General features: G+C 38.8%; 1 protein-coding gene and 1 pseudogene across 21 annotated transcripts in view, besides 1 other annotated feature; both read right to left on the bottom strand.

Annotated features, from left to right (window-relative positions):
* TANC2 (tetratricopeptide repeat, ankyrin repeat and coiled-coil containing 2) overlaps positions 1–12,331 on the bottom strand; it is a 461,469-nt gene that overhangs the window by 244,522 nt on the left and 204,616 nt on the right. The window lies entirely within an intron of this gene.
* Positions 184–1,383: an enhancer, noted in NCBI's record as "MED14-independent group 3 enhancer chr17:61259160-61260359 (GRCh37/hg19 assembly coordinates)". NCBI's record gives its function as "activates an origin of replication core promoter dependent on BRD2, BRD4, P300/CBP and CDK7 cofactors, and independent of MED14, by STARR-seq in HCT116 cells {active_cell/tissue: HCT116}" and the evidence as "EXISTENCE:reporter gene assay evidence [ECO:0000049][PMID:35650434]".
* Positions 365–1,016, bottom strand: DNAJB6P8 (DNAJB6 pseudogene 8; annotated as a pseudogene).

Below are 12,331 nucleotides of genomic sequence, written 5' to 3'. Positions count from 1 at the left end.
GTACAATCTTGTCCTACCACTACTCAAGAGTCAAGGTTCAACTAAGAGTATATTTAATAATGAAAGCAAAGTGCATACAGAGATTTACTATTTTGAAGTTTAAAAAAAAGGTCCTATTATGTGGCCTCATCAATAAATTCAAAAGTTTAAGACAAATAGGGACTCCAATGAGCTGTTTATAAATACTCTAGATTAGGCACAATGAAAAAGAAAGTCGAATTCATCTGAAATCTTCAAAGAAATGTTCCTTAATCCTCAATGGTGCTTGTTATAGTTTAACATTTCTGTTCAAATGAGTGTGTTGAGTTACTTGTTATGCAAGGGTAGCAGCTGCTCCTCACCATTTATCGGTAAGCACTTCGACTCTTTCTTGACCCTTTTCAACAATTCTCTTTGTAGTGATTTTCTGCCATCAACTATTTTAGGTATAAGTTGATACAAATTTGAAGCTGCCCATGGCACTACCACCAAATAACATGGAGGAAAATGAAGTGAGGCCTCCATGACCTCATGATTGAATGAAGCAAATTGTGTATCAAAAGAAGAAAATCCACTTCCAAAACATGGAAATCCAATCAAGGTGGAGAAAAATGACTGTTCCTCAGCTTCTGCTTCTTCAGGAACCCCTTTGATTCCCCAAAAAAGTCCTCAAATGAGTTTTCATAGAAGTTGAATAAAAATGGGTCCCTTCCACCAAAAATGTCCCTGAAGGCATCATCTGGGTTACAGGAATGTGACGCCAAACTAAAACGAACTGTCAAAATGACTTCCAACTCCTCCTCCACCATTTAATTTCTCTGCCATATTTGTCACAGATGTCCCATTTTTTAGCATCTGATAATATCTCATATGCTTCAGCTACTTGTCGGAATTTTCTGTTTCTTCTCTATTCTCAGGATTTTTATCTGGATGCCACTTTGGTGCCAGTTTCCAATATGCCTCTTTAATAACCTTGGAGCGGGGGGAGCCAGGTGGGCATGTCTCTACATGCCTAGAACTTCATAGTATTCTACCAAGTTTCAACAGATTGTAGGAACAGGCTGGAGGACATGAGCGGTGGTGTCAGGAAGAAGGGGAGGCAGGGCTCGGCTCTGGCACAGCAGTGCTGGTGGCAGTGATGGCACCCCACGCTTTCCTCTGAAAACCTTTGTTTTAAATTGGCTATTTAGGAATTCTGTGGAAATGACAGCCAGAACACAAGTTCTCAACTTCTCTTCCGCCTACTACCTACACCTCACTGGAGTGATACAACTGTCAAAATAAGGGTGGTAGTGACACGAGGCAAGTACACTGGAAGCTGAAGGTAGATGAGAACAGGAGTGATGCTTCATTTTCTGTAACCACCGAATAACAAGGGAAGAGTGAGGAGCCAAGAGCAAGGGAAACAGCAACAACCTTAGATCTCTCCAGCTTTTCTGGTTGACAGATGCTGGTGAATCCACTTGGAGAGGGGGCTGTACCTGCTAAATGTGGTCCTTGGAGGTTCAATCATTCCGAGAGGCAATATTATTACCCGACAAAGCAGAATTTAAGGTGGTAGGAGGTGTCGGTGTCAAGTGAAATTTCTGTTTTCCTGGAATTGACAAGTAGGGCCCACAGGGCAATGAACAAAAGACCTTGAAGACGCATTTTAAATACAGACCTCTGGGACTACCTTTCTCCCTGCTGGCTTGTTGAAATGTTCCATTTCAGTAGGCATGACAATACAACTTTCTCCCTTCCTCACCTGGTTCATGGTTTTCAACATGCCTAGAAAGAAGTTCATGCCTGTGCCTATAGGCCCCAAAGTTGAGACTGTAGAGGGTAGTCTATACCACTCAGGTTCATCTACCTTCCACTAGGCCAACTGAACCTACAGGGAGCTAGTTTAGAGAGAGGACCAACAGCAAGAGGACAGAAGCCCTTCCAACATCAACCCTGGGTAAATTCAGGTTATTATCAGAAGACCATTAAAGATATGTATCACTAACAAACCATGGGCAGTTATATAAAGAGTATCTTTATTTATTCTCCCTCCTCTCTACTGAGAAGAGTAAGCAGAAAGAAGAGGCGGCTCTGTGACATTGCAAATTTAGTAGGAACACACACGTCCCTCTAATTCGGAGCTAAATTACATCACTATGCCTACTCTTTTTTTTTTTTTTTTTTTTTTTTTTTTGAGATGGAGTCTCACTCTGTCACCCAGGCTGGAGTGCAGTGGTGCAATCTTGACTCACTGCAACCTCTGCCTCTCAGGTTCAAGCAACTCTCCCGCCTCAGCCTCCCTAGTAGCTGGGACTACATGCACCTGCCACCATGGCCGGCTACTTTTTGTATATTTAGTAGAGACACGGTTTCACCATGTTGGCCAGGTTGGTCTCGAACTCCTGACCTCAGGTGATTCACCCGCCTCAGCCTCCCAAATGCTGGGATTACAGGTGTGAGCCACCATGCCAGGCCTTTGCCTACTTTTTTCTACTACTATATTCTCAGTGCCTAACACATAGGAGGCATTCAAGAAATATTTTCTGAAAGCATGAAGTAAGTACTTCTTAGAGAAGGACACAATCAGATTTGAATATAATAAAGGTTCTTCTGGTTGCATTGAGGGTAATGGATTGGAGGAGGATGAGGCAAAAAGACTAGAAAGTTTCTCAGCTTCCTGATAACACAAACATATAAATCTGCCTATACATCATTCATCCTTTTAAATAGTGATACTGTTTAAATAGTAATACTTGTCCTGAACCCATCAACTCTATCATCCTTCCCTCCTTTTAACAGCAATATTGTCCCTTTTCCTATCTAAAATGAATCTTTCCAATTATATTTTGGATCTTACTGAAGCCTGTCCTCAGGGAAACTTGATAAAAAAGATTAGTCTTTCTCAAATTCATACTCGTGCTTTCAGATGAGTTTTTCCCATTGAGTGTTAAACATATTCCAACATCTTCCAACAAATCACAAACAACTTTACTTGACCACTCTTCTCATATCAGCTAACAACTTAAAGTGGAGCAATGGCATTAAGGCTAGAGGGAAGCCATTATTTTTGTTTTTTGTTTTTTTGAGATAGGGTCTCACTTTGTCAACCCAGGCTGGAGTTCAGTGACACGATCAGCCTCGAACTCCCAGGTGGGCCCAAGCAATCCTCCCACTTCAGCCTCTTGAGTAGCTGGTACCACAGGCATGTGCCACCACACCAAGGCTTTTTTTTTTTTTTTTTTTTAAAGAGATGTAGTCTCCCTATGTTGCCCAGGCTGGTCTTGAATTCCTGACCCTCTTGCATTGACCTCCCAAAGAGCTGAGATTATAGGCATGAACCATGCCCAGCCTAGAAGAAATATTTTGTAAATTAAAGGAAGTGCTAGGAAGAGCACAGAGACAAAACAATTATCCTTATTTTGGGAGGGTGAGGGGAGGAAAGGGATGGAACAGGATTCTTAGAGGAGGGTGTACTTGAAATTAATGGATGAGTTTGACATTGAACAGTAGAGTCAGGGAAAAAGAGCAGAGGGAACAATTTGTAGGTTCAAATTGTTTGACTTGCCAATTCAACATAAATACAGGACTTGATCACAACTGATTAAATGCAGCATATTTAATATTATTTTAAAACAGTGTTTGAAGTTTATTTCTGGAATAATGTTGATAGTACTATTAGTAGTAGTAGTGATGACTGTAACAATAACTTATTGAGATATTACTGTACTTTTCTAAATGCACTATATGTATTAAATCATTTAATCTTCACGACATTTCTTATCTTACAAATAGCAAAAGTGAGGTACACAAAGATTAAGTTCTTGCTTGTCTATGGTTACAGAGTTAGTTAAGTAACAGAGACAATATTTAAGTCCAAGCAATCTGGTTCTTGAGCCTATGTTCTCAACCATTTCATCATCCTGCCAAGAAAACTGTGATTATTAAGTACAAATTGTCTAAATAGCTACTTAATATATTTTTATCTTTAACAGCATCTAGCAGAATTATCTGATGATACAATGAGCACAGTCCCTTATTCTTGAGGAGTTTATAGTCTCACGGGGGAAATAAAAAAATAAAGTTTAATTAAATCACAGTAAATTAAACTCTGTGATAAATATAATACAGGCCCCCTCAAAAAGAGGATTCTGTAAAAAAGCAGGTACTGAATATTTCAGAATATATGTTGGTCATTATTTTCTTGATGATGCCAATTCTCCAGTCAGAGATGGTTTACACTTTACAACATTTGAAAAAAGTACCTTCTACTTAAGGTAGCCAGTGTGCACAGGGATTAAACAATGATTAAAACTGTGCCAAGAAATGAATGTCTAATAGCCAATGTATCCAAATTCCTAATCTGTATTCCTAACATGGCAAGCTGCACACAAATAATACACAAACACTATATCTCTAGTTCCCCAGACTCTCTTAATTCTCAGCATTCTTTTAGCATTTGCACATCAGATTGTTTACATTTTCTGATTTGTTGATTATAAACTGCTTATTCTCATCTATTTCAAGACTTAGAAATCTGTGCCATATTTAATCAAATAAACTCATGCTTTCTCTTTAACAGAGTTGTAAAAACAATGATTAGTTTGGCCCAACTGCCAAAGCAAACCTGGCTATATTTTCATTTCTTAGTTCTCGAACGATTACCTGAATTTTTCATTGTTCTGAGGAATGTTAGAAAATAAGCAGCTGCTAAAAGCAGGGGCCGCAATTTGTCACAACAAATGTTGAAAAAGGCACGGAAGCTCTTCCACATCCTTCCAAAACTGAGCTCCTAGCTGTGAGAATCAATGCCCACTACTTTTCAAGAATCAAAGCAACCACCTCTAGCTTATGTGCGCCCATAGGGCAGTTTTTTGTGTTTTTTTTTGAGACAGAGTCTTGCTCTGTCGCCCAGGCTGGAGTGCAGTGGCGCGATCTCGGCTCACTGCAAGCTCCGCCTCCCGGGTTCACGCCATTCTCCTGCCTCAGCCTCCCGAGTAGCTGGGACTACAGGCGCCCTCCACCACGCCCGGCTAATGTTTTGTATTTTTTTAGTAGAGATGGGGTTTCTCCGTGTTAGCCACGATGGTCTCGATCTCCTGACCTTGTGACCCGCCCACCTTGGCCTCCCAAAGTGCTGGGATTACGGGCGTGAGCCACCGCACCTGGCCCAGGGCAGTTGGTTTTAAGGCGCTGCTCCATATTTATTAGTGCCCTTGAGCATAATAGAAGAGGGAAGAAATATAAGAAACAAGAGTTGCAAAATAGAGATAATTGTTGAAACTGGAGGATAGGGACATAGAAGTACCTTGGGGTTATGTTTATTTATACTTCCCACAATAAAACTTTTTTGGATTTGTCCAAGTGACTTTATTTGGACAATGCGATCTTACGAGGAGAGGCTTGAAATGTGCCTGTACAGTTTAACTTGTGTTCTTGTGCTCTGGTGATACACCAGGAGAAGCTCCTGGCTGATACCCCTTCAGCCTGAACCCAGAAACAATCACAGATGATGAGCTCAACTTGAATGCTAGAGCCATCCAGCCAACCTACAGCACGAATCAGAGCCATTTCAACCAATACTTGCAAGCCCATGAGTTTTTTAAAGTGCTTATTTTTGGTTGCTGTAAGTTTTGGAGTGGTTTCTCATGTACCATTATTGTAGGCATTTAATTTTTAGGTATTTGACTCAAATACAACCATAACTTAATTAGCAGACTACGATAAAATTCTAGTGGCTTTTCTTACCATATATTTTCTGCTCAATCTAAGCATTCTCTTAGTCATTTTCCTACTCACTCACTACCATCTAGTTGCTATCTTATTCCAGATTCAATTCCATTTCCTATTCATCTACTGATCTTCTCTTTCTAAAACTATAATTGGCAAATAATAAACTATTACCTATATAACATATACAATTCAATAAATTTTGTGTTTTTTTTTTTTTTTTTTTGAGACAGAGTCTCACTCTGTCACCCAGGCTGGAGTACAATGGCACAGTCATGGCTCACTGCAACCTCCACCTCCTGGGTTCTAGCGATTCTCCCACCTCAGACTCTTGAGTAGCTGGGACTACAGGTGTGTGCCACCATGCCCAGCTAATTTTTTGTATTTTTAGTAGAGATGGGGTTTCACCATGTTGGCCAGACTGGTCTCAAACTCCTGACCTCAAGTGATCCGCCCACCTCGGCCTCCTAAAGTGCTGGGATTACAGGTGTGAGCCACCGTGCCCAGCCGCAATTCAGTAAATTTTGATAAATATATACATCTGGTAAAACTACCAAAATCAAGATACTGAACATTTTCATTACTCTCTGGAAGTCTGTATGTGTCCCTTTGCAGGCAAACTCACTCTCAACTCTAGTCCCAGGCAACCACTGATCTTTTTCCTGTTTTTTTTTTTTTTTTTTTTGAGATGGAGTCTTGCTCTGTCGCCCAGGCTGGAGTGCAGCTGCACGATCTCGGCTCACTGCAAGCTCCGCCTCCCGGGTTCAGGCCATTCTCCTGCCTCAGCCTCCTGAGTAGCTGGGACTACAGGTGCCCGCCACCACACCCGGCTAATTTTTTGTATTTTTTAGTAGAGACGGGGTTTCACTGTGTTAGCCACGATGGTCTCGATCTTCTGACCTTGTGATCCGTCCGCCTCAGCCTCCCAAAGTGCTGGGATTACAGGCGTAAGCCACCGCAACCGGCCTTTTTTCTGTTATTTTAGTTTCTATTTTCTATAATCTTACATAAGCTTATATAAGTAATTAAATAGGTTATATAAGGAATTAAACAGTATGTATTCTAGTCTGGTTTTTCATTCAGCCTGTTTTACAGATCGTCATGTTGTTGAGTATGTTAATAGTTTGCTCCTTTTCATAGCTGAGCAGTATTCCTTTGTATGGATACCACATTTTGTTGTTTCCCTGCTGATAAACATTGTATTGTTTCCAGTTTTTGGCTGATATGTATAAAAGTGCTATAAATGTCCATGTAAAGTCTTTAAGTGGACATATATTTTAATTTCTCTTTGGAAAACACATAGGTGTGTAATGGCTGAGTTATAAAGTTTATAATTTTAGCTTCATAAGAAATTGCCAGTTTCCAAAGTGACTGGTGACTTTATACTCTCCCAGGCTGTGCATGAGAGTTCCTGTTCCTCCATATTCTCGCCAACACTTGGCAGTGAGAGCCTTTTTAATTTTAGTTATACTAATAAATACACAGTGGTATCTCATTCTGGTTTTAATTTGCAGTTCTCCTGATAATGGTGTTGAACATCTTTTCACGTGTTTAGTGACCACTCTTACATCTTCTTTTGTGAACAACTGTTCAAATATTTCATCCATTTTAAAACTTCAGTTGTCATAATAAAATGGTGGTTGTTTCAAGCCAAAAAAAATTCAGTTGTCTTCTTGTTAATTAGTAGTAAGGGTTTATTTATTTTGGATCAAGGGTGTCAGGTATATGTACACTGATATTTTCTCCTATTTTATGGCTCCACTTTCCATTTTCTAAACACTGTATTTTGAAGAACAAAACTTTTAAATTTAGGTAAAGTCCAATTTTGCACATTTTTCTTTTATGACTCACATTTCTCATGTCCTATCCAAGAAATCTTTGCTTGCCCCAAGGTTGCAAAGATTCAGTCCTAGCTCTTACATTTAGGTCTAAATCTTTTTTTTTTTTTTTTTTTTTTGGCGGGGGAGACAGGGTCTCACTCCGTCGCCCAGGTAAGAGTGCAGTGGCACCAACATAGCTCACTGCAGCCTCAAACTACTGGGCTCCAGCAATCCTCTTGCCTTAGCCTCTTGAATAGCTGAGACTACAGGCACACAGCACTGCACCTGGCTAATTCTTAAATTTTTTCTAGAGACCGGATCTTGCTAGGTTGCCAGGGCTGGTCACAAACTCCTAGGTTTAAGCAATCCTTCAGCCTCAGCTAAATCTTAACTTTTGTGTATGGTATGAGGTAAGGGTCAATGTCCATTTCTCCACTTAATTTCCCTAACATTTTTATTTAAAAATAAGTCCTTTAACTTTATTATTCTTTTGTAAAATTGCTTTAAACTTCGTTATCCTTTTGAAAAATTGCTTTGGGTATTCTAGGTCATTTGCATGTTCGTATTAGTTTGCAAATGTCTACAAATAGTTTTTTTCTTTGGATTATGTTCACTCAATTTGGGGAAATTGCTATTTTACCAATATTGGATCTTATAATCCATAAACATGAGAAATCTGTTGGTTGTCTTTAATTGGTCTTAACAATGTTTATTTATAATTTTTAGTGTACAAGTCTTGATCAAATTTTGCTAAATTTATCTCTGATAATTTTATGATATTGGATGCTGTTGTAAATTAAATTGTTTTTGGATTTAATTTTCCAATGGTTCTTTGCTAGAATATAGCAATACCATTCATTTTTATATAGTGACCTCACTGACCTTCTCTTCTGAACACATTTATATATGTAATTACATTTATATAAATGCAATTATAGAAATCTATATTACAGGTATTTGTGTTTATATATTGCTCTGCTAACATACAAACATATTTATGTAATGTAAAAGTAGTTAGAGTAGGAGAGGGGAATCTCCGCATTTACTCTGGAATACTGACATATCAAAGCAGGTTACCAGGGGCTTTATTTACACCAAATTTGGTAGAAATAATGATGATATGCTAAGGAATTAATTAGCTCTAGCATCAGGTTTCTTAAACCAGAAACGGAGATGGACAAAGATTACATTCTCAATTCTTCAAGCATGTCCCTAAATGTATACAGAAACTTTCTTTAATGTTCGTAGGAGCAACAATTTGGGGGGGCAACACTTTGAAACTTTGTGTTTTCCAACTTAATTCCAGGAAACAGATTTCAAGTTTCTCCAAGTGGGGATAAAGGTAGGTGGAGTGGAGGTAGTATAAGGCTGTAAGAAAATGAGGGTAACAAAAGAGCTGTAAAACTAGAAGTACTGTAAAGAATTGAAAGAGTATACCAGAAAAGGGCTTTACCTCACCCTGCATAGCTTTACTGCCAAGAGATGACTAAGTCAAATCAATTAATGTGGAAAATTATGCATCACTAAGACATTAATAGATGCCAAAGTCATGTCAAAAATCTGCCTTCGTCACTGGCAGTGACAGCATGGCAGCTGTCATGAAGTTCATAAGGTACCAACAAAAGAGAATGGCACAAGTGGCTGTAGGGGAGGATGCTAAGGTGAAGGTGTTAACAACCCAGGCCAGTAAAAGAAAGAACTTGTAGAGTGGAATTATAGTAGCTATTGTTCCAGGTGAAATAGTGTTCTTGTCATTTTTACTACCATCGGTGCTATGCTATTGTTCTCATAAAGCATAAGGAAGCCAGTTACATCACTTAATTTTTTTATATGAATAAGTCTGATTATTATTAAAAAATTTATTTTGTGTATGTATGTTCAAGCATGGAAGTCATACATATTCTTAGAACAGTGTAATTATGTGAAAAGGGCATGAAGTGAAGATCACCCCAATATTAACAGGAAAAGCCTGTTTATTCAGCACTTGCTACAGCAGGGGAGTCAGCCACAATCACCTGCATTTGGCAGAGACCCAAAGGCAGGCACAGGAATGGGAAAGTTTTATAATAGAAAAAAGGAAAGGCTTCAGATATGCGCTAACTGGAAGCACCTGGCTTGGAGAAGCTACAGGCAGGTTAACTAGAAACAGGGCATACCATGAGATTGATTAGGGGTGCATATTTGGCTTTCTCCAGTTGGTCTTAAGTTGGAAGCAAGGGCAAAAATTAGAGAGGTCATCAGTTAATAATCAAGCCCTGGCCATTTTGTCCTGATTGTTACAAGGGTTACTGTTATCTTCTTGGACTGTCTGCTAGAGACAGTGGTCTGACTTGTAGATAGCAGGTTGGTTTCTTGGGTTGGTTGCTGCAGACCAGAGGACAGAGTTCTATTTTTATATATGGTCACTGTCTGTCTACACACTCAGTCTCTCAAAGGATAGTGTTAAGATAAACTTCATGTATTTCTCTTTTTTCCTTGATTTTTGAGGATAAATGTGTTATATTTTGCTAACAGATATTTTCCTGAAATTCTCTTTGTTTTATAGACAATTATGTTATCTAATTACATTTATTCCCTTTCCCTCACACTGATTGATCTTAGGTGGTGGATATGGCAGAATTCTGATCCAGTAAAGTTTTACGCACCTTCCTTCTGATATGCCATTCGCATTTACCTTGTATGTAGCCTCCCTTCCATGGAAGAAGATAATTTAGCAGAAATTTAAAACAATGAAAAATCAAAAACCACTAAAAGATATACCACTCCCTACCCTCCTAACCCCCAAGGTAGTGAAATTAGATTATAAACACAGATTAAGAAGTCATAGTTGTAGTTGTTCAGGCTTATAAGCCTTTTTGCAGTAAATTAGAAAGTCTAAAGAGAAATTCTTAGTAGAGAGAACATATGTTATTTATATATATTTATAACATACTAAGTTTCTTCTTTTTCCCTTCCTCTGAGTTCTTAGGTTCATTTCACTCATTCAGCACACATTTAGTGAACACCTACTATGTTTCAGTGACTACATCACTATGGATACAGTAGCAGGCATAAAGGAGATGATGTATTAAATTATTTAAATGGGTGATTTTCATAATTTTAGTGTTTATTTTTCTTGTTTGGATGTTTGAGAAGAAATGACTGAGGGACTGCAGTTATTAAAAGTTTTCATTAGAAAAATGCTGTGATGGCCGGGGGCGGTGGCTCACACCTGTAATCCCAGTACCTTGGAAGGCTGAGGTGGGTGGATCACCTGAGGTCAGGAGTTCAAAACCAGCCTGGCCAACATGGTGAAACCCTGTCTACTAAAAATACAAAAAAATTAGCTGGGAATGGTGGCGGGCGCCTGTAATCCCAGCTACTCAGGAGGCTGAGGCAGGAGAATCGCTTGAACCTGAGAGGCGGGGGTTGAGAATGTGTCATTGCACTCCAGCCTGAGCAACAAGAGTGAAACTCCATCTAAAAAAAAAAAAAAAAGAAAAGAAAAGAAAGAAAAAGAAAAATGCTGTGATGACTCAGCTGTAGTTTAATTCTTTCTTCTCTCCAGGGCAACCAGCATATAATCAGTGTCATTATAAAAAATGTTACTTGGTTAGGGACGAGATAAGGCAGTTATTGTACTGGATAATTCACTGTATAGAATAAATTTTAACCAAGAAAATAAAATATCATTGCTCTGGTAAGGAACCAGAAAACAGCATCCATATTTTATGCCCTTCATTGTAATGGAAGTTTTACTTCTACACAAATGAATTCTAACCAATGCTCTTTCACTTTAAGACATGTAAAAGAAACTATGTAAAACAAATAATACCTTTAGATTTTAAGGGCAGCTTTCTGTTCCACAGTACCAAAGAGGATTTACAGGGATTAACAGAAGAGTAAGTCTTTAATATGTAGATATAGTAGGCATCTTGTGTTATAATACAAAAATGTATTATGTGCCTTTTGATACTCAGTTTTAATAAAACATTAATCATCAGATAACATTCATCAGATAACAACATTCCTTTCAAAATTGGTTTGCAACAGAGCCAAGAAACAGAAATCTAGACTGTATTTTAAAGCTTGTGGCTCATAATCCTCTTCAAACCCTTAAAGAAATTCTCCAGTTGTTTTGCATGATAGCTCTTATTCTCTATTAAAATTTTTTTTCTGGCAGCAATATAAACATCAGCTTCACCTACTCAGAATTATAATGTAACTATTGTGACTACTGTAGAAGGTAATATAAAAGCAGAAAATAATAATGCTGAGCATACTTCAATGATCTAAGAAATAGATTTGGGGCTGGGTGCGGTGGCTCATGCCTATAATCCCAGCACTTTGGGAGGCGGAGGCAGGCGGATCACATGAGGTCAGGAGTTCAAGACCAGCCTGGCCAACATGGTGAAACCCTATCTCTACTAAAAATACAAAAATTAGCCAGGTGTGGTGGTGTGCGCCTGTAATCCCAGCTACTCGGGAGGCTGAGGCAGGGGACTGCTTGAACCTGGGAGGTGGAGTGCAGTGAGCTGAGATCGCACCACTGCACTCCAGCCTGGGCGAGGGAGCAAGACTCCATCTCAAAAAAAAAAAAAAAAAAAAAAGAAAGAAATACATTTGGGACATTTGGGATTTGTGGCTGGATGAAGTAGACTATATTCTCTATCCCACCCCACTCCCAATCTAATGCCAACAGATTGAGTAACACCAAATGGAGATCAGAAGCAGAAAGGCAAATTTTTGAGCAATTCAGTATCATGCGTAGTACCATAACAATGATAGGCAAAACTTGTCAAAATTTTGATGCAAAATTCTAATTCCTTTGAGATTTAGTA

This window comes from Homo sapiens, chromosome 17 (genome assembly GCF_000001405.40).
Source record: "Homo sapiens chromosome 17, GRCh38.p14 Primary Assembly".
Classification (NCBI taxonomy): domain Eukaryota; kingdom Metazoa; phylum Chordata; class Mammalia; order Primates; family Hominidae; genus Homo; species Homo sapiens.
This window is presented reverse-complemented; position numbering and strand designations above follow the sequence as displayed.